Source organism: Homo sapiens, chromosome 3 (assembly GCF_000001405.40).
Source record: "Homo sapiens chromosome 3, GRCh38.p14 Primary Assembly".
Taxonomy (NCBI): Eukaryota; Metazoa; Chordata; class Mammalia; order Primates; family Hominidae; genus Homo; species Homo sapiens.
Genome location: NC_000003.12, coordinates 78,050,466 through 78,075,258, shown reverse-complemented (window position 1 = coordinate 78,075,258; position 24,793 = coordinate 78,050,466). Strand labels below are relative to the sequence as shown.

The 24,793-nt window shown below is 37.2% G+C and overlaps 1 long non-coding RNA gene across 2 annotated transcripts; it reads right to left on the bottom strand.

Annotated features, from left to right (window-relative positions):
• Positions 1–9,761: 9,761 nt before the first annotated feature.
• Positions 9,762–22,513, bottom strand: LOC105377173 (uncharacterized). 2 transcript variants are annotated; one of them, XR_940982.2, is made up of 4 exons: positions 22,239–22,513; positions 16,004–16,107; positions 10,104–10,217; positions 9,762–9,817 (listed from the first exon to the last, which is right to left on the bottom strand). It is a non-coding gene; the product is annotated as an uncharacterized LOC105377173 (long non-coding RNA). The 2 variants fall into 2 exon arrangements; XR_940981.2 differs by having other exon boundaries at positions 9,773–9,852.
• Positions 22,514–24,793: the final 2,280 nt, after the last annotated feature.

The following is a 24,793-nucleotide window of genomic DNA, read 5'->3' as shown; positions in this document are numbered from 1 at the left end:
GGGAGGAATCTGAATTTCTGTTAATACACTGAATTGTGTCCTCCTAAAATGTATACATTGAAGCCCTAGCCCCCGAAGTGACTCTGGAGATGGTACCTTTAAAGAGGTAGTTAAGGTTAAATGAGTTAATAAGGGTGGATCCCTAATCCAATATTACTGATGTCACTTTAAAAGGAGGAGGAGACACTAGGGATGTGCCACCACAGAGAAAAGACCACAGAAAGATGAAGCAAGAAGGTGGAAATCTGCAAGCCATGGAGAGAGAACTCAAGAGAAACCAAGCTGCTGACACCTTGGTCTTAGCCTTCCAATTTCTAGAACTGAGAGAAAATAAATTTATATTATTTAAGCCACCCCATCTGTGGTATTACTTTACTGAAGCCCTAGCAAAAAAAAAAAAAAAATACAACTGCAAATACACACACACACACACACACACACACACACACACATTCATACATACATGTATATGATATAAATTGCCTTTCTCTTCAAATAGATAAATTATCTTGCTGTGTGTTATAAAAATAAACTTGGATTAAAGTATCACATTATACTTATGTTGAAATTATTTATATCATTTGGGAATAAAAAACGATGTCCAGTTTTAAAATTCTTCCTTCTACCTCATAATATGTTAATAGTGATGTGTATTTATGTAATTGGGGTTTGGTATTATGTTGATCCAGCTTTTGTAAATAAGTAAATATTTTCATCACAGAGCATTCTGAAGCCATTGATGTAGTACAATATATAGATAATAAATAAATATTTGACTTCTAAATATCTAATTGTTAAACTTTCTTTCATTTGCCAGATAGTTTTGTGTATTTACCATTTGGCCTGAATTGTATTAGGTGACAAGACAAGGGGGCATGATATGGTTTCGCCATGCCCCCACCCAAATCTCAACTTGAATTGTATCTCCCAGAATTCCCATGTGTTGTGGGAGGGACCAAGTGGGAGGTAATTTAATCATGGGGACCAGTCTTTCCCATGCTAGTCTTGTGATAGTGAATAAGTCTCTCAAGATCTGATGGGTTTATCAGGAGTTTCTGCTTTTGCTTCTTCCTCATTTTCTCTTGCCGCCACCATGTAAGAAGTGCCTTTCACCTCCCACCATGATTCTGAGGCCTCCCCAGCCATGTGTAACTGTAAGTCCAATTAAACCTATTTTTCTTCCCAGTCTTGGGTATGTCTTTATCAGCGGCATAAAAACAGACTAATACAGGGCACTTGGGTGTGAAATTGATGGAACTCAGAGACTAGCACAGAAGATTGGTATAAGACAAAGTGAATGCATAATTAATAAACTGGTGGTATAGAGGAGGAAAAGTATCTTTCTTTCTATCCTTCTATGCTCTCAGTCAGGGCCACTGTAACAAAAGACATATTAACAATAGAAAAGCATACAAATGCATATAACATCATTTAATATCAGTTTTACATGACCCAGGAGACTTCATAAGAAACAGAGACCCAAAGAAACAGTTGAGCTGGAATGTTGTTATGCTAGGTTTGGTAGAACCTAGTATAAAAAAAGAAGAGTGGAGAGTCAAGGCAAAATGTGATAAGACCAGGAGCATGAGCTGAAGGTAATAAACAGGAAAACTTAGCAAGGGCTGTCTGCTAAGACTCCTGTCATCCTGTTGGAGTCCCTGTGTCTTTGGAGATAAGAATGCTCCTTTTCTCTGGGAATAAGGAAGGCATCTTTCACATAAGAATCTTATAATCTGTTTCAGGGAAGAAGGGAAAGGAAGGGCAGAGTCTTCCTGCTACTTCTCAAATTCCTTCAGTTTAAAATATTCAATATATCAAGGTGTGTACATTTTGGGGTAGCATGTCCTAAAGCCCATCAATGGCAATTGTGAAGAGTGCATTAGGATTATAAATAGGGAATCCTGGTGTAACTTGAGGGTTAAGTGGAGAGGAAACCGAAGGAAACCACTTATGCTTAAATATGAAGCATAAAAACATTATAAAGACAGGGTTTGAAAATGGAGCTTCCAGAAGGAAGTAACAGAATCCTCTAGGCTGTCGAGTGGAAGTTCCTGGTGTTTTGGAAGACATAGTAGAAAAGTCACTGTGGCTAGAGTAGAAATAATCATAGGAGAAAGGCCATGGTAGAGAGTTGGACATCCTCCTATAGCAAAGGGAAATCACTGATCACTTATAAATAAGGAAAACCGATGAATAGATTTGTATTTGAAAACATCATTTTGGCCTCTTGTAGTGAAAAATGAGGAGGAAGTTTGAGTGGATGAAAGGATACTAGTTAGGAATTTATGTGATTAATTTATGTAGATGAATCAGAATGATGGGATGAATTTAGTATAAAGTGAATGAATTCACAATTTTTTTCGGCAGCAGAGCCAATAGGACTTTATGAGAACACACACACACACACACACACACACACACACACACACACACACACACACAGCCTTAAGGGAATTTTTGAGAACACAGGTTTCAATTAAAGGAAGTTGATAAAGGCAATGTATGGAGCAGAAATGAGAAAATGTAAAAACTAATAGCTAACATTTATTTACTTCTTAGTAACATGGAGCTTAGAATTTTATAATGCCATCTAATCATCACAGCAGCCTACACAGTGAGTGTTTTGGTAGGGATTCTAGGAAAATATCCTTTCTGAGGTCCTGAGATCCCTTTCATCAACAGTTTTGTGAGACTTTCTCCCTTTATGACTGGACTGTTCCATAAATTAGTTGAATTCTCTATTCTTACACTAACAAGCACCAGATTCAATTTGACTACAAATAGCAGTTGACTTTAGACCAAAGGCTATATTTGGACTGTGAAAGTGTGATTTGCTTTTTTGAATTTATAATATAAAAGGATCGTCCATGGGTACCCTGAAAAAGAGCTATGGCTTTCTCTCAGAAACGACCCCAGGTAGTAGGAGATAAACCCAAGCCAACCTATATGGTTATATTTGCTGAGACCTGCCTATGGAATTCCTGTCCAGAGGATTCGCGGCGAGTTCTGCAGGGACGCACAAGCTGCCAGAACAATGCCCACTAGGAGATCTACAGCTAGCAGGAGTGAGAAGTTGTAACAATGATTTCATTGGAGCTACAGATCCTGCTGTTTTCTATACACTGTCAAAGCATAACACAATGTGGCACCAAAGAGATGATTGCATACAAACTTACAGAGATATTTACATTGATATTTACATAAGATATATATGTCTCCAGGTTAATACTTGCTTGTATTAAGAAATTAGACTATAATGAATACTGTTTATATTGAGCTTATTTGTTCAATCTTAGGTTCAGACTTAGTATTAGGTATCCAAAATAAAATTTGCCATTAGAACTTGAGTTTCATGAAGACATGAGATATGTTTAGTGATTAAGTACATAGTCTTTATGAGGCAAATACGTGTTTAAATACTAGGTCAATCTCTTTACTTTTGTAAACTTTATTATTGTAATCTAATAAGTAAAAAGTTGTAATAGATTATCACAAAGGATTTATGAGATTTAAATATGAAAAAATATATAAAGTATTTAGCACAGTGTCTTTTACCTGCTATGCTGGAATAAATTATTGTTATTGATGTTCAGTTATCTGAGATACATTAATAAGCTCCTAACTGTGATAAGACCAGGAGCATGAGCTGAAGGTAATAAACAGGAAAACTTAGCAAGGGCTGTCTGCTAAGATTCCTGTCATCCTGTCAGAGTCCCTGTGTCCAAGGAAGACTTGCAATCATTCTAACTTTAGCGTTTGTTCCTTTAGTATGTGATTAGCTTTATTACTATGAAAGTACCTGTAGTTATCGAGTCCAGGAAATAGTATTCAAGTCGTTTAGCAACATGTATCTAAAATATAGAAACATTTTTAAGCATTGTTTATCATATCCTTTTAGTACTATCTCTTATAATCAAGTACTTGTGATGTTGTTTCTCTGGAATTATTACTAGAAAGTCTGTGCTTACAGGCATGAGAAATGAATCTTTAACACACAAACCGAAATTCATCCTCATATATTAAAGACCTGAAAAACAGCTGGTCTGAAAAACATCTGATTTTAGAGTCTATGGACTTTTCAAAGACTGTTCTAAACAGGTAAATGGTGCGGCTGTGGGAGAATAAGTTAGGGAGTGAGAGATATGGCAGAAAGTAAAATAAAAATATATCTATTTTCATTATTATCATTATTGTAGATGTATTCATATAATATAGTTCTCTTCACATATAGGTTCTTATTGCATATATGTAAATCGTATTGTGAGACAGGAATATCACTCAAGCCAGGTGTCTTGACAACCGTATTTTTTTAATAAAAAATCATAGACATAGAGAAATTAAAGTATGTACATCATATGTATAAAGCTCTGTGAATTTTCACACGTTGAATATGTTTTGTAACCTGCTCCCTGAAGCTGCCCGTCATCCTTCTTCCTACTACTCTGACTTCTAATGGTATAGATTATTTTCACTGTTTCCTTTTATACATGGAATCATATACTACATAATCTTGTGTGTCTATTGTTCAATATATTTGTGAGATTCATGTATATTTTGTATACTGTAATGTAAAATACATGTATTTTGTATAGAGCAATTATCATTGCTGCACAGTATCCCATTGTGTGAATATACAATAATTTATTCTTCTTTTGGATTATTATGAAAATACCTGTAGTTATTGAATCCAGGAAACAGTATTTCAGTTGGTTATTATGAATATTGATGTGATTTACTATTCATCATGAATAGTTGCTTCATATGAATAATGATTCATAGTTTGTTATGAATAACCAATAGCTTTGGTTATTATGAATAGTGATATGAACATTTTAGAACACGTCTTTTAGTGAACACATTTGTGTGTTACCGATGAGTATACACCTAGGTGTGAAATTATTCAGTTATAAGGTATGCATAGCTTCACCTTTAGTAAATACTAAATATAGTTGTACCAGTTTACTCTTCCCACTAGCAATGTAGGAGAGTTTCAGTTGCTCCATGTCCTCACCAAGAGTTGGTTTTATATTGCTTTTTTTCATTTTTGCCATTCTACATCACATTTTATTAGTTTTGTTAGCAGTTTCATGATGTCTAATAGAATTTAATAATTGTTAAGTTATTTGCTATTTTGACCACCATATAGTAAACACAAATTATAGTACCTTATGAATATAGAATCACAAACAGCAGCAAGCCTGTGTCAGATGGACATTTTGTCTTTTCCGTGTTTTATTTTTCATCCCTTTAAGCATTCTTTCATTCAATATACCTATTTTCAGAAGCTGTTATTTTTATCTATACTTGTTCTAATCTCAAATCTTTGATCCTTCTATTTATCTAACTAGATTTATATGTATTATGTTTCTGTAACTCAGCATATGTTGCAGTAAACTGTAAACTACATGAAGAGAAGATAATGCAAAGAAGAGTAATGGAAAATGACAGTTCTATTTAAAATAGAATTTGAGGTTTTCATGAAGTATTTATTTAAACAGCTACTTAAGGATTGACAGTGAGCTTTCTTTTTCTGAATTCTATAACTGATGAGAGAATTCTGTTGTCTAAAGTGTATACTTTGTTCATATTTCCTTAGATTTTACCTGATTTTTTTTTCCTGTTCCAGAATCCCATCCAGAATATCACGTTACACTTAGTCATCACATCTTCTTAGGATCCTGGCTGTGAGAGTTTCTTTGATTTTCTTTTCTTTTCTTTTTTTTTTTTTTTTTTTTTTATTTTTGAGATGCAGTTTCACTCTTGTGCAATGGCACAATTTCGGCTCACTGCAAACTCCGCCTCCCCGGTTCAGTCGATTCTCCCGCGCCAGCCTCCCAAGTAGCTGGGATTACAGGAGCCCGTCACCACGCCTGGCTAATTTTTTTGTATTTTTAGTAGAGATGGGGTTTCACCGTGTTAGCCAGGATGGTCTCAAACTCCTGACCTCATATGATCCACCTGTTTAGGCCTCCTGAAGTTCTGGGATTACAGGCATGAGCCACCACGCCTGTCCTAATTTTATTTTTTTTTAAATAATTTTGACAATTTTTAGGAATATCACTCAGTTATTTTGTGAAATGCTACTCAATTTGGATTTGACTAATGTTTTTAATGAGTCATGATTTGACTAGAATTATAGGTTTAGGGGAGGAAGGAGATAGACAACAAAGATAAAGTGTCATTCTCATCACATCATATCAAATATACATATTATCAACATTACTTACTACTGTTGATGTTCACTTTGATCACTGGGCTGAAGTATTATTTATCAGAGTTCTCCACTGCAAAGCTACTTTTCTTTCCCTCCTTTTTTCTGTTTCGCTGTCTAGAAGGAACTCACTATGTGTAGCCCATACTTAAAGAGAAGGGAGTCCTGTTCTGCCTCTTACAGGGGAGATTTGTGTATTCTTCCCCATTTACTTATGTATTCATTCAATCATATACTTGTATTCAGTATGGATGCATGAATATTTATAATTTGGTTTTTAATAGAATATTTCTCTATATATGTATTATTTTAGCCTTGTATCTTGGGAGGTCTTTTCACTGGCTTCCCTTTCTCTTTGACATAGTGTGGTAGGAGTTATTAAGAAATTATTTTAGGCGGATAGAGAGGAAAAGTTTTTGTTTCTTTTAAAGCTGTTCCAGAAACGTTTCTTATCTAGAAGGAAAGCCCCGGCTCTTAGAGCAAGGCAGTCAACCTCTGATATGCAAATGCAGGCCTTTAAAAACTGGGTCCACCCCACATGGCGATTACCATCCTTGTGTTCTTGCCCTTGTCCCACATGTGCCTGGCAACATGGCTGCCCCCACGTATCCCCACGTGTGTAGAACAACATGGCACCCTACATTGGCATATTAAAATGCTAGGGTGGGAGGGCCAGTTTTTTCGAGGGCTACATGAATGTCATGCCTGGTCAAACCAATCCCCTGAGACCTATGCAAATCAGACACCTCCTCCTGCAGCCTCTATATATACCTGGCTGGTTTACCCCCAACTTGTGGGTCTCCTCTCTCTGCTTTGGAGCCCTCCTCTCTCTGTCTCTGTATGGGGGAGCCTCTTCCTTCTGCCTTCTGCCTTCTCTTTTCTTTCTTGCCTATTAAACTCTCCGCTCCTTAAAACCACTCCATGAGTGGTTTTATCTATTCCGACTGGAGACGAAGAATCTGGCATTCCTCCAATCACCGGAGCCGTATCAATACTATTAGTGTGTGTGTGTGTGTGTGTGTGTGTGTGTGTGTGTGTGTGTGTGTGCTTGTGTGTGTGTGTTGAGCACTTGCTTACTTTCTGATACTACAAAATGCTCCAGGCCCATCCTGTATATTTCCTGCCTCAGTCCTAAAATCAACCACTTCTTTTCATATTGGAGGATGATATTAGAAAGATTGGGTGTTGATCTACTTTATAGGCAAAAATGTTACTTATACTTTAAGAGACTACATATAAACCTGAGAAATAAATTTGGAAAATTTAGTATAAGTTAAAGAAAAAATTTAACTGTGTTTTTCTCCTGGAATAGCAAATATTTTAGAATTTTTAAAAATAAAATGGACTAAATGAATACGCATAACTATGTTTCTAAAGTTACTTTTTACATCTAATAGAATTAATGGTAAGTATTTAACTTCAGCTAGACGTTAGTCCATTGATATGGCTTACTGATGGACTTTTTAATTAAAAATAGGTTAGGCTGAAAATATCACATGCTGTGAAGGGCATGTATATTCTGTTTGCTGAGATTTTCTTTTTTTCATCTTAATGGAACTGAAGAAAGGAAATGATTATGACTGTTGCCTTGAATGATAAACTTTCATCTTTTAAATTCAAAACTCAGTGGCTTGAGAGACAACTTTGGATGTACACCACCAAAGGAATGTATGAAGAGAAATTAGGGAAATTATCTTACTGAATAGATGCAGACGTAGAGCTTTAGCTTCAGAGAAGATGGCTGTAAGTTATAAATGTATTTTTCTGTTAATTATGAAAAGGCCCATCCATGTTTATGTATAGTCTCTCAGATATGCACATAAAGGTCCACTTAATGTTAAAAAGTATTAAGTAAGTGTTAATAACAAACGTTTTTAGATTGTGGGAGGCTTAGATATCAACTGAAGGTGACTCTGAGTAGGACAGTAGATTTTACAAGAGAAAAATAAAGATAGAATTTACCTATGTGAAATAAGACATGTTATATCCTTTCCATTAAAACAATTATTACATTTGAAATATTTTTTAGAAACATCTTCTTTCTCTATTTACTTACATTTTTCTGACTATCCTTTAATAATTTTCACATTCTAACTAAATAGCATTACTAGAGTTCATAGTCCTACTCTTTATAGGACTTCTTCCATGAACAGAAGTCACACCTGATGCCTTTTCTAGCACTCATGCACCCCACCCTCATTTTAAATGATAGCTGCATACACTGTGGCAAGGGTTGGTGGATCCAGTTCTTGGAGTCTGAGGTTTTCATAATTTGTACAGCCCTCTCAAAGAAAAAGAATAAAAGATTATTCATACATAATTAATGACAGGGCCTTGGAAGAGGTATATAACTCAGAAGTTTAAGCTTCATCAGGTTCATAGTAAATCTGCCTCTCTGGGATTGCTCTGTTATCTACCCCTACCTGTTCAACCATATATGGGCTGCCCTTAAAAATGGAAATAAAAACTGTTTAATGTACCGCACATGGGTTTCTGACATAGAACCAGAAAGGGCAAGTTAGGAGACAGTTCTACGTGGGTTTCTCATGCTTCTGCAAGTCTTGCCAGCAGAGGCGCTAACTGCCTTTGCCCAATTATCTTTTTAAGGGTATCTGGACAGTGAACAACTTTGGAAGACAGAGGTAGTGTTTCTTCTGGAGCAAAGGGCAGGTTTTCTTTTTTCTTTTTTTTTTTTTTTTTTTTTTGAGATGGAGACTCGCTCTGTTGCCTAGGCTTGAGTGCAGTGGCACGATCTTGGCTCACAAAGGCAGATTTTCTTAGAGTATTGAAAGACAAAGTTTCTTCTCCCAGAGCAAAAGGGAAGGTGTGCTCCCTACTTATCTTAATATTATTGTTCTTGAAGCCCAGAGTTTCTCTTTTCTAACACAGCTCCCACTGCAATGTGCAGGTATAGCCTGGCCTTCTTGTGGGAAATTTGGCTCAGGAACTTACAAAAGTGCTGACACTCTCACTACTGCTTTTGCTGTGAGTAAAAAATTGACCTTTATCTTTGACGCTGGAGGCTTTTGTCTCTTGATAGTATCCAGGAAATCGCTCAGACTAACTCATCACTTTCTAAATAGGGTAAAATCTTAAGTCCTTAGCAGTTCTTGATGAAACACTCCTGATTCCCTATTCTCCATTAAGTTTATACCCAGCAAGTGATCAAAACTGTTGTAATGTTTGATTCATGTACAGTTGATCAGTTATTTCTCATCTGTATTCTTATAGTACATTATACTTACTTGAATTTTGTAGCTTATATTGTAACAGAATTTGAGTTTTTGTTTTTCTTTTTTCCTGCCCTCCATTTATTTTGCAAATAGTTATGATTCAAGCACAGTGATCAGTGCTGAGAGTCAATGGGATTCAAAAACACCCAACCCCTAAGGTTACAGAGCTTACAATCGGCTCTATGAGCATGTCTCCTTCACGAGACATTGACGTTTGAGAAAAGCTGAGTGTACTAGGCTGTTCTTGAATTGTTATAAAGAATTACCTGAGACCAAGTAATTTATTAAGAAAAGAAGTTTAATTGGGTTATGGTTCTGCAGGAGGTACTGGAAGCATAACACTGGCATTTGCCTCTGGGGAGGCCTCTGGAGGCTTACATTTGTGGTGGAAGGCACAGGAGCAGGCATCTCACATGTTGAGAGCAGCAGCAAGGAAGAGAGAGAGAGGTGCCACACACTTTTAAACAATCAGATCTAGCAAGAACTCAGTATTATGAGAACAACACCAAGAGGATGGTGCAAAACCATTCATGAGAAACCCACTCCGATGATCCAATTACCTCCCACCAGGTCCCACCTCCAACACTGGGGAATTTTTTTTTTTTTTTCATTAGAAAGCTATTGAAGAAAAAATGAGGAAGTAAAAGATATTATCTGACCTGTGTTTTAGGAGAAGTTACCCAGGAATCAATGTGAAGGGCAGATTAGAAGAGATCCGGTTTGGAGGCAAGGAGACCCTAGGGAGGAGTCTTCTAAAGTGGGTTGGTCAGTTACTGTGGAGGCAGAACAGAAAGAAAACAGACACATTTCCAAATGAAAATCAATATTATTTGATGCTTGGGAACCAATACAGACAAAAAAGTAACAATAATAAGAAAATGTCAAAATGTATTTCCTTAAATCACAGTGCTACTGTATATGCCCTACCCACAGGAGATATCTGTGGAGTTAGAGACCTAGATGGCATCTAGAGATAGTGAAATATTTCAGAATATTCACACTCAGTATAAAATATAAAGCAAACTTGGAGGGGAAACAGGATCCCTGAATGGCCCTGAGTGTACTACTGAGGTTGCAGTGTTCCTATATAATGGGAACAACTTGTGTGGGTATATGCTATTTATGAGCATCATTAACTAGTGAATTAAGAGAGACACAGTAATGTTTGGGAAAGAGTATGGACTTTAACTTTTGGCTTCAACTTTCACTAGTTGTGACTGTTAAGTACATCTCTTAATTTAAAGCCTAGATTTGTTTAAAATTAATGTGAAAAGTGAAAAATGCAATCTACCTAATACGTTGTTTTGGGTTTTTTTTTTTGTCTGTTTGTTTTGTTTGTATTTAAATAAGAAACTACAAAACACCAGTCATAGAGATACTATACCTACTTAACCCCCTTGAAATATCTGTTTTATTCCTGAATGAAAAATGGATCTGAAACAATATGGCAAACCTTTCTAGTTCTGTGAATGGAGGAAACATTCTCTGAGAGGCCAATCCAAAATCGGACTTGCCTTGTATAAATGACAAGTTTGAGGCGGGGTTGGGAAAGAAGCAAGACCGTGTTCACCTCAACGTTTTTATGTGTTTAGGTCTGCTGGTATTATTTTGTCACTACCATGTGGCAGGAAGCTAGCGGTATTTCTTCAGAACAAAATTAGCCAAGAAACATCAGCCTTTCCATACAAATCAAGATTCTTCGGATATAAAGTACAAGATCTACTTCAAGCCCTCAGATTTTTTCCACTCTGTAATTTTCCGAAAGAATAACTGGTGGTCCAACTAGGGAGGTATAAGACTTTTTTTCCCCCTCCACTGATCAGCACGCCATGTGAGCTTTAAATATCCACAACCTTCCTAGGACATAAATATCAAAACAATGTGAGGGCCATTGGGTCCCTGAAAATAGAGGCAGGAAGGTACTCTGGATGCATTTCCAGGAATGTTTCTGTATTTACTAAACCTGAGTATTTGCCTTTGAGATAAGCTCAGTTTTATGGCTGCAGGCGAGATACCGACTGGGCCATCATGAGGAGAAAGCCTTCCTGAAGGGCAGGTAGGAGGTGAATTTAGCACAGCAAGGACGAGAAAGTGGCAACTAAATGTGCAGTATTGCTCTTCCTGACCCACAGCCAATGTGCTCAGGACTCTTGGGGAACAATTATAATCAATGAGCTTAATTGCTCTTACACATTTCTTTATAGTTTAGGAAGTATGGTCACATTAATTATCTCTTTATCTTTAGTATTTAATAGATCTCCATGTTTTTCTTGGATGTTCTCACTTGATCTTTACATCACTCCATAAGATAGGAGGCCAGAGTTTGTTATCTTCATTTGAAGGAAACTGAGGCTCAGATATCAGTAACTTACTTAAGGTCGCTGTGAATTTGCAATGAAGGCAGAATAAGAACAGATTTCCAGATTTCTGGGCTTGTCATTATTTTTACAGAAAGCATTGTTTTGAAGAAGCAGAAATGCGGTGCCTGACCTAAATCTATGACCACATAAAAACGACTCTGGAAAAGCATTTCCTTCTGGCCGCCAAGCATGAGCTGAGCTCCAGGAGGAAATGGAGGAGAGGAACAAATTGGTGCTTCTCGTTCCTTCGGTGAATACAATTTATGTGTTCCCAATTGCCACCTGGGAAGATTTTTGTTCATGAGAAAAATTCTGAAAGAAATCTTAAATATAAATTTTATTAAAAACCTAAAGCAAAAAGATTGATAAATTGTTCTGACAGCTCAGATAAAATAAATACATCTATTAACTTTCTGGGGAGAAAGAAATATCCACTTGGAAAAACTGAGGCTGCTTGAAAAAGTACAGGAGGGAAAAGCCAAAAAAGAAATGAACAATGACTATTATTGAATCCTGAAGAAATTATAACTCAGGGTGGCAGGGGGCAGGGAACATAATTGGAGGGACTGGAACATGACTGGAAGTTCCCACAGGAAATCAAATCCCTGTTCTCTCAGCTGGCATTGGATTTTTGCCCTTGCTATATTTTGTGTCTCTTGAGGGCTCCAGTGACCTAATGCCCCATGGCCTTCTAGCCAAAAACAGTAGTGCCACAATTTCCACTTCAGTTGAGGAGGAAGCAAGAATAGCTAGGCTGTGGGGCTGAGGATGCCCACCCCAAGAAAGACGTTCCACTCCATTTCCGTACACATGAAAGAGGGTGAGGGAATGGGCCACAGTGGCGTGACTGTCCTGCCCTCCTGAAAACATTCAGCCTCAGCGCAGTCTCCCCTGCTGTGAAAATGAGGTCAACCATCCCAGTGAGAAGTGGGGCTGTAAAAACCCAAATTCCAACTTTTTCTTGCCCAAAGTTAAATAAGTTGTTTCTTATTTCTCAATGAGAAAAAGTCTAACTCTTTGGAAGCAATGGTGCATGTAGCATTTCATCCAACAACCAGAAAGGACAGTAAGTCTTAGAAACAAACGGCTACTACAAGGACCTTGATGTTCCCTCTGTAGGAGAGGGACAGTAACACCTTCAGGCCTACCCCCAGGCGATTGATTAAAATAAAGCTGCTGGCGTAAGGAGTCCCCAGGATATAAAACTCCCCAAATCAAATCTCTACAGTCAGTAGCTATTTACTCTAGGGGCAAAGAATTTGACATGCCTTAGTGGCTCTTGAGGGCATTATAACCTAGTACAATAAATGCTAATAAATGTTGTCCTGAGTTAGCAAGAAAAACACATTATATGGTATAGCATATTAAGAGGATAAGAAAACACGTAATGTATTTTAAAACCACCCAAATTTTCAATCAAATCAATTCAATCAACATAAATTTGTTGTTGAATACTCTGTGGATTAACAAAAACAAAATGGAAATTTTCTCTTGCCTCCATATGCTTGCTGTTATTTTAGGGACAAAGACAGCTATACATGAATACACTTAGTAGAAGACTGTCATAGGTGCTATGATTAACATTTAAACAATCTTATGACAGTATAGGTGAGGGGATGAATTTTGAATAGTGACGTTTGTGACTGCCTTGCAAGGAGGTGAGATTTTGTCTAAGTCATAAATAAATCTACTGCATAATTTCAGATGAATGAGAAAACTTGAGTTAAGATCAATTAGGAAAAACATATTGGACAAACAGAAGGAATGGCAAATAGATAACAGCCACATGTGATTTGGGAGTTAGGGCACGCGAGAGTAGAGGTAGAGGGAGAAGGTTGAAATATAGGTTGGGGTCATATAATGGAGATTTTTAAATGTTAGGCTAAGTAATTGGCATTTATTCTAAGCAATAGGAAGTGAATGTTTTACAACAGGGTAAGGGCAATAACTCTAGCAGTAGTGTGTAGTATTGATTGGGGACGGAGACCAGTAAGGTGATCATTGCAGCATATAGAAGAGAAATTAAGAAGGTCAGGACTAAGTTAGCAGTGGTAATAGAAAGATCTACACAAGAGATAGTTTGGAAATGATTCAAATTTTATAAATACCTAAAATCCCTCATAGGCCAAACCCATACAGGTGTGTTCAGTAGAATATTTTGATGGTGGTTTGAATGTACAGAATAAATTGTATTAGGAATGAAGCTTCATCCAAAGGAAGAGAAATAGGATAATAACTCACCATTAAATAAGTCATTTTAAAAACTGCATTAGACTGTGTGTGTGTGTACAGATAACAGGGTGTGTGTAAAGTGGGAACAATTAAATTGCTTAATTACACATGATGATGCTTTGGACAAGTTCATTGATCTCTCTGAGTCTCAGCATCCACAAATTTGAATTAAGAGTATTGGGTCCAGGCATGGTGACTCACACCTGTAAAACCAGCACTTTGGGAGGCAGAGGCGGGAGAACTGCTTGAAGCCAGGAATTTGAGACCAGCCTGGGAGACAATGCAAGACCCTGTCTCTACAAAAATTAAAATAATTAGCTGGACATAGTGGTGCGTGCCTGTTGTCCCAGCTACTCAGGAAGATCACTTGATCCCAGGAATTCAAGGCTGCAGTGAGCTATGATCATACCACTGTACTCAGCATGGGTGACAGAGCGAAGTCCTGTCTCTTTAAAAAAAAAGCATTGGACAAAATAATTTCAAAAATTATATTCTAATATGCATATTCTTTGCATATAAGAAATAACTTTTTATTGAACAGGAAGAGAGAAAATCCTAAATTAGAATATCTTCCTAAAAGCAGAATTAAAAATGTTCAATAGAATAATTACCCCTAATTGGTCTCACATATTGGAGAATATGTGCATCTGGTATTTTAATTCTCCCCTGTGTCTATAACCCCAAAGCACAAGGTTTACATACATTTCTAAAGGGATGATGAAACCAATCTAGGAGTTTTTATATTTTAACTTTTACTGCTCAATTTTATGGTCAGATATATTTTATGAAAAGCATTACTCTTGGAATCAATACTGTGTTTACAACATTAATCGAATAAATAATGAAAAGACCCATTAAATAAGGCAAGCAGATTAAGCAACTTATAAATAACCATTTTAAAGCTGTAGCTGAGTGATTGATTATGGCATAAACTTATTTTTGCCTTTAAAAAATGTTCTATGTCCCCTAAAAAAGATTGCAGTTTTCATAAAAGAAAAATTATGTGTGTTTGTCAAAATATTACTCAAAAATTTCTGCAAAAATTTTAGGATGCAAATGATTAAATCATCCAAGCATTATTGACTTTTTCTGATATGTGACCTGTTTGAGGCTAGTGTAGTATCAGGCCTTTTAGGAGAACTCAATTTCATAAAAATGAAACAAGCAGGTAGAAAATATGTGTATTTTTGGAAATTGTTTTCCTGACTTTTGTGTCTAAAATAATCCCAGGAACTTAGGCATGTAGAAATAGTTTTGATTTACAGGAAAAGTACCAGCATCGTATTTTTGTCTTTATAAAATGACTTCATTAAATGAATATCACAGGCAATTGAAAAAATATAGCTAGCCATTGGGTAGAATGAACAGTAGAAGATAAAGATAAGTCAATATTGTTTGTTTTGTTTATAATTTTTCACAAATTACATCATTTCCTCCTACCCTCTGGTTTCTTCAAGGATGCTGCTTATATCTCCAATGGTTTCAAAATTTAAAATAATGTGTTCCATGTCGTTAGTATACACAGTCCCCGAACAGTCCCCGGAATGAAAAGAGATTCAGCCATTTTTATTGTATATACAATACTAAATAAATATCTAGAAACATCTGCATGACTAATCAAATATTTCTCTTTCCATCCAGGTGTCTGGAATATAATGATCTGAGTTTAAAATGGAATATTTTAAAAATTCATTAATATCTGCATTACTGATTGAGTATATGCATTAAGTTGCAAAAGACAAATGGTGGTAGAAATATAATTTGATTCCAAGTACTCATTGCTGACCATACACTTCCTTTTAGTTGTGACTGTCCCCTGTATGGTTCTTAGAGCCACTGTTGCCCTGAGGCTTGTGAGTAGAGTTGTCAAAACAGACGAGACAACAAAAGTGGCAAATTTCTACCCTTTAAGCTCAAATGACCTGAGTCAGCAACGTCCCACACCCTTCCCATAGGATATAAAATACCTTCTGTTTGGGGCAGATGAAAAGAAGAAGGTGGAATATTCCACAGGTTAGAGGCAGACATCCTACCTCCTCTCCACAACAACTACCTTCACTCATAGATAAGTCTGAAAGACAGAATAAAATTACATAGTATCCTTTTTAAGTTTGGGCATCACAAAGCTAAGATAATATGTGCCCACTTTCTAGATGAAAACTAAGGAGATGACAAGCTTCATAGGAAACTTTCATGTGTTGTCGTGGTGTGTGTTAGTCACAGAATAGAAAGGGTGTCACAAAATATTTAGGCACAAGAGGGTCAAAGGCAATCCCCCGTGTCTCCCATGAGGCATAAGTGGCAAGGGAACCGCACTCCACTGTTTCTAGGTGCAGCAGTCCCACAGGGGATTAGATGAGGACATGGCTCACTCTCAGCCAACAGAAACTGGGACAAGTTACATCCAGAGCAATGGCCAACATTACTCTGGCCAACATTTAATGGTGTAAACCCATTAAACCAATTAAACACCTATTTCAGGATTTAGAGGTAGAGATTCCTTCCGTATCTGTGACTCAGTACTATTTTCATAAACCTCTTAAACCCCTTACTCAAAGGCTAACAGTTTAACATCAACCCAGGGACAATTTTTGAGAAAAATTAAGTTTTACAGCCAAGATAATTTTAATATCTGTCAAATTTTCTGAATTTTTCCAGTTGTAGCTAAATTATCAGTCAGACTGAGGGCTAAAGTTAGATATTAAATCTTTTATAGAATAAATGAAAACATTTATAAAGTTGTACATCTCTTATTCTTACCATGTACTTCATATCTTTCATAAAAGAAATAGAGATATTGATCAGGGTATATATATATATTTATTACATAAAACTTTTATCTCTGCATAATTAGATGCTCAAATTTGTCTGTGTCTGAAAAACTATCTAGGTACCATTAAATAATTTGGGGTACAAAGTTTGCTATTTTCCACAATATTTGTAAATTTTCCTCATTCTCATTGACAAAGCTGTATGGATCTTTGGATAAGAACTTGTCTAAATCACAGGTACAAGTTATATTGCTTTATGTAGGGAACGAACTGAGAGTAGGTTGCCTGATTTCACCGAACCTATGGAAAATAAGAATATCAATATTTATCTTATAATAGCTTATGATTACTGTGAAATTAAATAATATTATGTAAAGACAGGTGTTTAATAGCTGCTCTTTTTTCTGTCCTTCCTTATAACCCGAACTTTAAGGCATACGGCATCTGGAATGGTGCTTTACAAATGGTTGGATCGTGACAAATACTGTTGAGTAATTAGACCAGTGCAGCTCTCCCTAGCATAGTGTAGCTAGTGCTACTTTTTCCACCTTCACCTCTTTCAATAGCCTCCTACTGTTAGCCTTTTGCTTAGCTGGTCAATCCATGATAGCCTTTTTACTTCGTGGCTTTGTTAAATATGCTGATGAACTCCTGCCTCACCTAAAATTTCCTGAAACAAAATTAAAATATTAAAGTGAGATATCAATTCACCCAACCCATTTTATTCTAATCTATTTGATAACTGCTTTCTCTACCCCCCTTTTCTTCTCTCTTTTTCTTTTTTGAGACAAAGTCTCACTTTATCACCTAGGCTGGAGTGCAGTGGTGCGATCTTGGCTCACTGCAACCTCCGCCTCCCTGGTTCAAGAGATTCTCCTGCCTTAGCCTCCCAAATAGCTGGTATTACAGGTGCCTGCCATCACGCCCAGCTAATTGTTTTGTATTTTTGGTAGAGACGGGTTCACCATGTTGGCCAGGCTGCTTTCAAACTCCTGGCCTCAAGTGATCTGCCTGCCTCGGTCTCCCAAAGTGCTAGGATTAGAGGCGTGAGCCACCGCACCTGGCCTCTACTTCCATACACTCTCAGAAGAGTCTATTTATTGTGCATGTAGGAATATTAGACTGTTATTTAAAGAAAAATAAAATATCTTCTGTCATGTAAAACATTTCAGCTCTATGCCAAGGTTTTACATCCCTTCTAAAATTGACAAAAAGCCAACAGTACATCATGTTTAACTTTGGATAACAAATATGATTACTTCATTGCTAACAAGACTAATAAGTAAAATCTACTTATGTAAATAATGTGCCAGAGATCAAGTTAGAAAGCAATTATGACCTAATGAGGGTGTGGTTTTGTTTTCTGTCCCAAAATCATTCCAAATTTAAAGTCCCGTGTGAGACCAAAAGCAAGACTCAACAAATAATTAATAAAAGCATTATTCATTGATTTATGACAACAAATATAATTTGCTCATGCAATTCTACTATAGCCTTAAGTCTAACAGCATAATGCAATGATACCTACTTGAGTTATAATGTAAGTCCTTACAAGTTTCCATCAGCTCTTTGCCCCTGTCAGAAGTTTCAACACATAATACCTAACAACTCATTTAAGGACAGAGAGCAAACACTTTTTATATGCTCAGGTCTTTTTCACATAGATTGAGAACAAGTCATAGCACTTTTTCAGAACATAAAGTACTTTTAAAAATAGCTGGCTGTACAAGTATAGCTTCGGTTTTCTGACAAATATATGTATTAGTTCATTTTCACGTTGCTGATAAAGACATGCCTGAGACTGGGAGGAAAAAGAGTTTTAATTGGACTCACAGTTCCACATGGCTGAGGAGGCCTCAGAATCATGGCAGGTGGTAAAAGGCACTTCTTACATGGTGGCAGCAAGAGAAAATGAGGAGGAAGCAAAAGCGGAAACCCCTGATAAACCCATCAGATCTCAAGAGACTTATTCACTATCACAAAAATAGAGAAGGAAAGACCTGCCCCCATAATTCTATTGCCTCCCCTTGGGCTCCTCCCATAACACATGGGAATTCTGGGAGATAAAGTTCAAGTTGAGATTTGGGTGGGGACACAGCCAAACCATATCAATATATTTGTAAGGTGCATATTTATAATGCAGATATGAAAAGCAAAGACAAAATATGAATTACAATAAACATCATTATTTTTAATGCCCAAGAAAATGTTGGTTGGGTTACTTTAATATTTTCTTTTCCCTGGAATAAAACAAATTTTAAAATCTTTGCACAATATTTGTTATTATCCTTCAACCTAAAATCCCTCTTTTGGCTTTGAGATCCTTTAAATAATAGGAGTTGTTTTTCCCCCTCTAATAAACCACAAGAACCTTTTGTTCATTTTCTTCTAGTCTTCAAAAAGTGCCTCAGGAGACTCTTAAAGGAAATTGGGTAGATAATTACAAAAACAATTCTACTGGAATACAAATGCTCAAAAATCATTCTCCTGTACGTCTTCTGAAAGAACTTTTCATTCGGCATGTTTGAGGGCTCTTGGGAATCACTGCCTTTGCTTGCAATTTGGATTTGGATTTGGACTTTAAACCATGTTGCAATGTGTGGAAGGAAAATCTTGGGGCCCCAAAACTACTAAGCTAAAGAGAAAAGTCAAGCTGGGAACTACTCAGTGCAAACCTTCCTCCCATTCTATTCAAAGCCATCCCTCTGTTCACTGAGTTAGATGCCTATCTGATTGCCTCCTTTGGAAAGGCTTATCAGAAACTCAGAAGAATGCAACCATTTGTCCCTCACCTACCTGTGGCCTAGAAAGCCCCTCCCTGCTTCTAGTTTTCCCCGCCTTTCTGGACCGAACCAATGTACTTCTTACATATATTGATTGATATCTCACGTCTCCCTAAAATTCATAGAACCAAGCTGTGCCCTGGCCTCCTTGGGCACATGTTCGCAGAACTTCCTGAGACTGTATCACTGGTGCACATCCTCAACCTTGGCAACATAAACTAACATAAACTTTCTAAACTAACTGAGAGCTATCTCAGAGTTTCAGTGTTCACAAATGCAACCAAAATTCTATGTAGTGCTAATTTGTGCATTTTTGGTATTGGAGGAGGAGAGGGTGGGCTGTAAGGAAGACATCTCCAAGTGAATGTGTGGTGTGGGTGCTGTGTCATTTTTATGATTTTCACAGGAATTCCATCTGAGCAGATTGGCGAGCTGTTAATTTCACCCCCCTCAGACAATCCCGCAGGCAGCTACCCCCTCTCTCCCACCACTTAGCTACTTGGGGTACAGTATTTCAAAACTTCACAAGGACCTCAGGAACATTTTGGTGTTGTTTTCATTAGAAAATTAAACTCAGATGGGATGACCCTGTTCTAATACAATGGCAGTTCTTGGGATAAACTAGCAGGCTCCATCTATTAGCATCATCTAGTTTTGGATAATAAAATCTCTATGTTCTTTTTTGACCACAGCAAATGGAAGTCAGTCTAGCTTTCCCCTTGCTGACCACATCTATCTCCCATGGTGGTGAAAAATTAATTTCTATTCTATTCAGTATTAAAAAGTTACTCTAACTTCTGGATCTACTAAGTAAGTAAAATCCTGCTCCTCACACAGACCCCAACAAGCCACAGAATAGGCTTCACCTTTAATCCAGGATAAAAAGGTCTTTCAGTAGTTCATTGAGGATTTTCTTGGATTTTAGGAGAGGACACAAGACGGAAGATAAAGAGAAACATGGAGGGAGAGAATGGCAAGTAAAAGTTTGAAGAAATGTGAAGCTGCATATGGTTACAGTTGTAAATTGGCACAACAGTTTGTGGGTGTTAAGGGGATCAACAGAACTCTTTGTGTCTAACACAGGCAGGAGTGATTCAGTAAGGTTTGTTGTTAATTGTGTGTGAGTGTGTGTGTATCTGATTGTGTGAACATGAAAAATACAATGCCCTTAATAACGCCAAAAGGTGACCAATCTTCTGAGACCATAAGCTACTCAAAGGAAGTACCTTGGGCTATCAACCCATGTTCAAAGTGCCTAGTATGCCTGATGAATAAGGGTCACTTATTAAATGTTTGTCAAACATTTAAACAACAGCTCAGAAGAGCTTCCAGACTTTCAGTCCCCAAGTGCTTGTACCCCTACCAATTCAAAGAAAAGAAATTTAACAAATTCCCCTTTGCCCTGAGACAACTTATTGCATTTTCCTTGTAGAGGAGGAGAACAAAATCCAAGGTGTGTAACGTGCCTGGGTTCCTCTTCACAAACTGACACCCCAGAGAGCCAAAAACTTGGGTCGCCTGAGGATCATTCACTGAGGGGGCAACATCTGAGTGGCTGCCCCCATGCAGCCTAATTTTTAAATATCTAATTTTTAAAGATTTAAATTGGTAACTCCTAATTTTTGAAATTGTATTGACGTTTATATTTTCTTAAATCTGTAATGGTTTTTGAGATATATAATTTTCTTGCTTATGATGTCCACATTCAATCTTCTATGAACTAGAGTGAGCATATTTTCTGTAGATGTTCCTTGTTGATATATAAATATTAAACTATATAATTTTTATGCCAGTGCACTCAACCGTGGCAGAGAGCAATTTTGCTGACATTCAGACTATGGTGTTAGGGATATATTTATGCTGGAAGCTAGAAGTTGAACCTAGTATTATAACAGTGTAGAGTCATTTTCTATCTTCGGTATGCTTATATCTGGACACTTCCCCAACCTCACAGACCTTATCTAGTGCACATATCCATGAAAAATCTAGCTGGAGAATATTGCATTTGAATATGTTTAGAGTATCTGAGGAAAATACTATCAAACCCTGGTGTCGGAATTTCTCCAACTCACTGAGAGCATCTGCAGTTTAGCTTTCAGTGGAAACCTTTTCTAGTTTTCAGGTACATTGGTTGTTAGTTGAGAGCTTGTTTCTTTAACAGAGTGTTTAAATATAAGTTAAAAGACTAAAAGTTTTATCTTTGCCAGTTTTCTTATTTTAGAAATGTTTCCTTTCTACAACAGTTATGTGCTGACCCAAAAGATGTTACACACCAATGGACAAAGAAGCAAAGAGAAGAACAAACACCTTGCCGTAAAGGGAAATATCGTCACTAAAATAAAAATGCACTGAAGAGAGTTTCAAGATTGTACATTACAGGTACCTTAAGGAATACTAGTTTAATCCTTGGCCTCTCCCTGACTGTCAGACTAGAGAAGAATATCAAAGTTTCTCTTGACATGTTTATTATGCTCTCCTACATGACCTTCAAATCATCAGGGCCATAGCATTTCCGCCCACCACCCCATTTTTTTCCTCCTCCTGCATTACCCATTTCAGTAAATCGTGACATATTAATTATATGTTGCCCCATAACAAATTATCCCCATAATCAATGACTGAAAACGACAAATATTTATTTCCTTCACCGTTTCTTTGAGTCAGGAATTTGGAAGCAGCTCGTTGGAGCGATTCTGGCTCAGGGTCTCTCACGAGGTTACAGTCAGGATGCTGTCCAGGCCTCGAGGCAGCCAAAGACTTAGAGATGCTATCGGATCCCATTCCAATGTGGTTCACTGATGTTGCTGGCAAATTTGGGAAAAGCCTCAGGTTCTCTTTACATGGAACTGTCCTAGGCCTGCTTTATTATTCTTAAAACAGGTTGTTTGGCTTTTTCTTTAGAGCAGAGCATCAGAGAGAGAGATCCAAAAGAGAGAGAATCCAGTAGAAGCTATGCTCTTTGTGACCTAGCCTTGGAAGCCACACAGCATCACTCCTGTCACATTCTTTTCATTGGAGAGGAGTCCCTAGGTTGGGCCTACAACTAAGGCAAGAGTAATTAGGCTTCACCTTTTGAAGGGAGGAGTGTCAATAATTCGCATACATGTTTTAAAATGAGGACAGATGAGATTCAATAAGTCATGCTGATTTTACCTACTAAAGGATTGCTATAGATCCTTTTCTGTTCATCTGTTTTCTCTCTCTCCTACTTTAAGTCCTTAAGATACCTTACTTTTTAACAGGCTCCTTATATCCTATCTTGGGTTTAATATCTCCACAACGCACCAGGGAAATCTTGCTAAATCTGATCATGTCCCTCTGCTCCTTAAAACTCTTAATCTGGTCTCTGTGACACAAAAACAAACCACAAGCACCTTACCCTAACAGCCCTTCATGTCTCCAACCTATGACTATATACTCAAAAACTCTTCCCTTTTCTCCTTTAAATTTTATATTTTTTATATTTAACATTTGTAATTTATTGAATATATGATAATATGTAAGATACTGTTCTCTGTAAACCAGAGGTCAGAAAACTTTTTCTGTGAAGGCACAGCTAGTACATATCTTCACCTTTGTGGGCCATTCTGTCTCTGTTATGACAACTAAACTCTGTTGTAACAATGGGGCATGACTCTGTTCAAATAAAACTTTATTTGTAATATAGGTAGTGGCTAGATTTGGCCCATAGGCTGAATGAAGTTTGCTGACCCCTGCTGTAATACTAGCCTTTTCTTGAATTACATGCCCTAAAATAACATGTTATTTTGTCTAGATAACATTTATGATTGACCTTCAAGAGTCACCTCAGGTGTTGTCTCCTATATGATTTTTTTCAAGTGCCTTTATGTTGGAATAATGGCCTTTGTTCTGTGGTCCCATAGCAGCCTGTGTGTACTATTATGGCATTATCACACAAAAATGAATGTCAGCTTTCTGAAAATCTTCCTAATTATGCTGGCAGATCGTTTTCATTTTTGAATTCCCATTGCCAAGCATAGTTCCTGGCTAATGTGTTGAACTGAATTGAGTCAGAGAAGGACTAATGCACAGAAGATTCTTAGCAAAATATAATTTAGAAAGGGATTATATCATATAACAAGTATCTTTTCATTTTCTGCCAAACACAGTTTGTTAATATTCCATTTTGTTTTATGCAAATAAAAGCAATAGGGTCTAAGGACTTTGGAGTGACAGATCCAGAGTTGAATATATGAAAATTTTCTACCTGTTGATTCTCTGTTACAAAGAAACATTCTGTGGTGGCTCATAGCTGTAATCCCAGCCTGTAATCCCAACATGTGGGGAGGCAGAGGCAGGAGGGTGGTTTGGACCTAGGAGTTTAAGGCCTCCCTGGGCAATACAGTGAGGCCCTGATCGCTACAAAAAGAAAAAGAATTGGCAAAAAAGCAAAAAACAAAGAAACATTCGGCCAAGGAATATGATCTATACCAAGAAGTCTCAACAGTGTCTGCTCCTTAGAATTAGGTGTAGAATTGGTGTGTGGGTCTGCATGCGTGCACCCCCCGCCCCCCCGCACACACACCCACGCCCAGAGATTTCCATTCAATAGGCCTGTAATGGGGCAGAGAATTCTGATTCCAGAGGACCAGTAAGTAATTCAAACATACACTCGGGGTTGAGAATTACTGAGTTATAGTTCACATCTAAAAGTATAAATCTTGATATAGAAAAATTGCAAATAATATTTCAGATATGATATCATAGAGGAAAAAAAGCAAACTGCATAGGAAGAATTAGAATGCCTGAGAGTGACTCGTGGATATATTATGCTGCATAATTGTATGGCTGTAAGTAACTTACTTGCTGTGAATTCTCCCAGGGTTTTCTCACCATTAAAATGAGATGATTGGATGATACTTCTATTCTATTAGTTTCTCCCCACATATTTCTATTCTACTAGTCCTTAATTGGTTACCAAGTATCATATAACTAACCACTCCAAAACTTAATGGCTTAAAACAATGACACATATACTTTGCTTACTCATACGTACTTTGGGCAGAGCTCAGTGGGGACAACTTTGCTCCACTCCAGTGTGTATCAGCTGTGATAGCTCAAAAACTGGAGTTTATAATCATCAGAAGTCTCACTCATTTACTAATCTGATGATTGATACAGTTAATTGGGACATTTCAAGCAGCTAAGGCTGTGGTCAAAAGACTTATTCATGGTTTTTCCA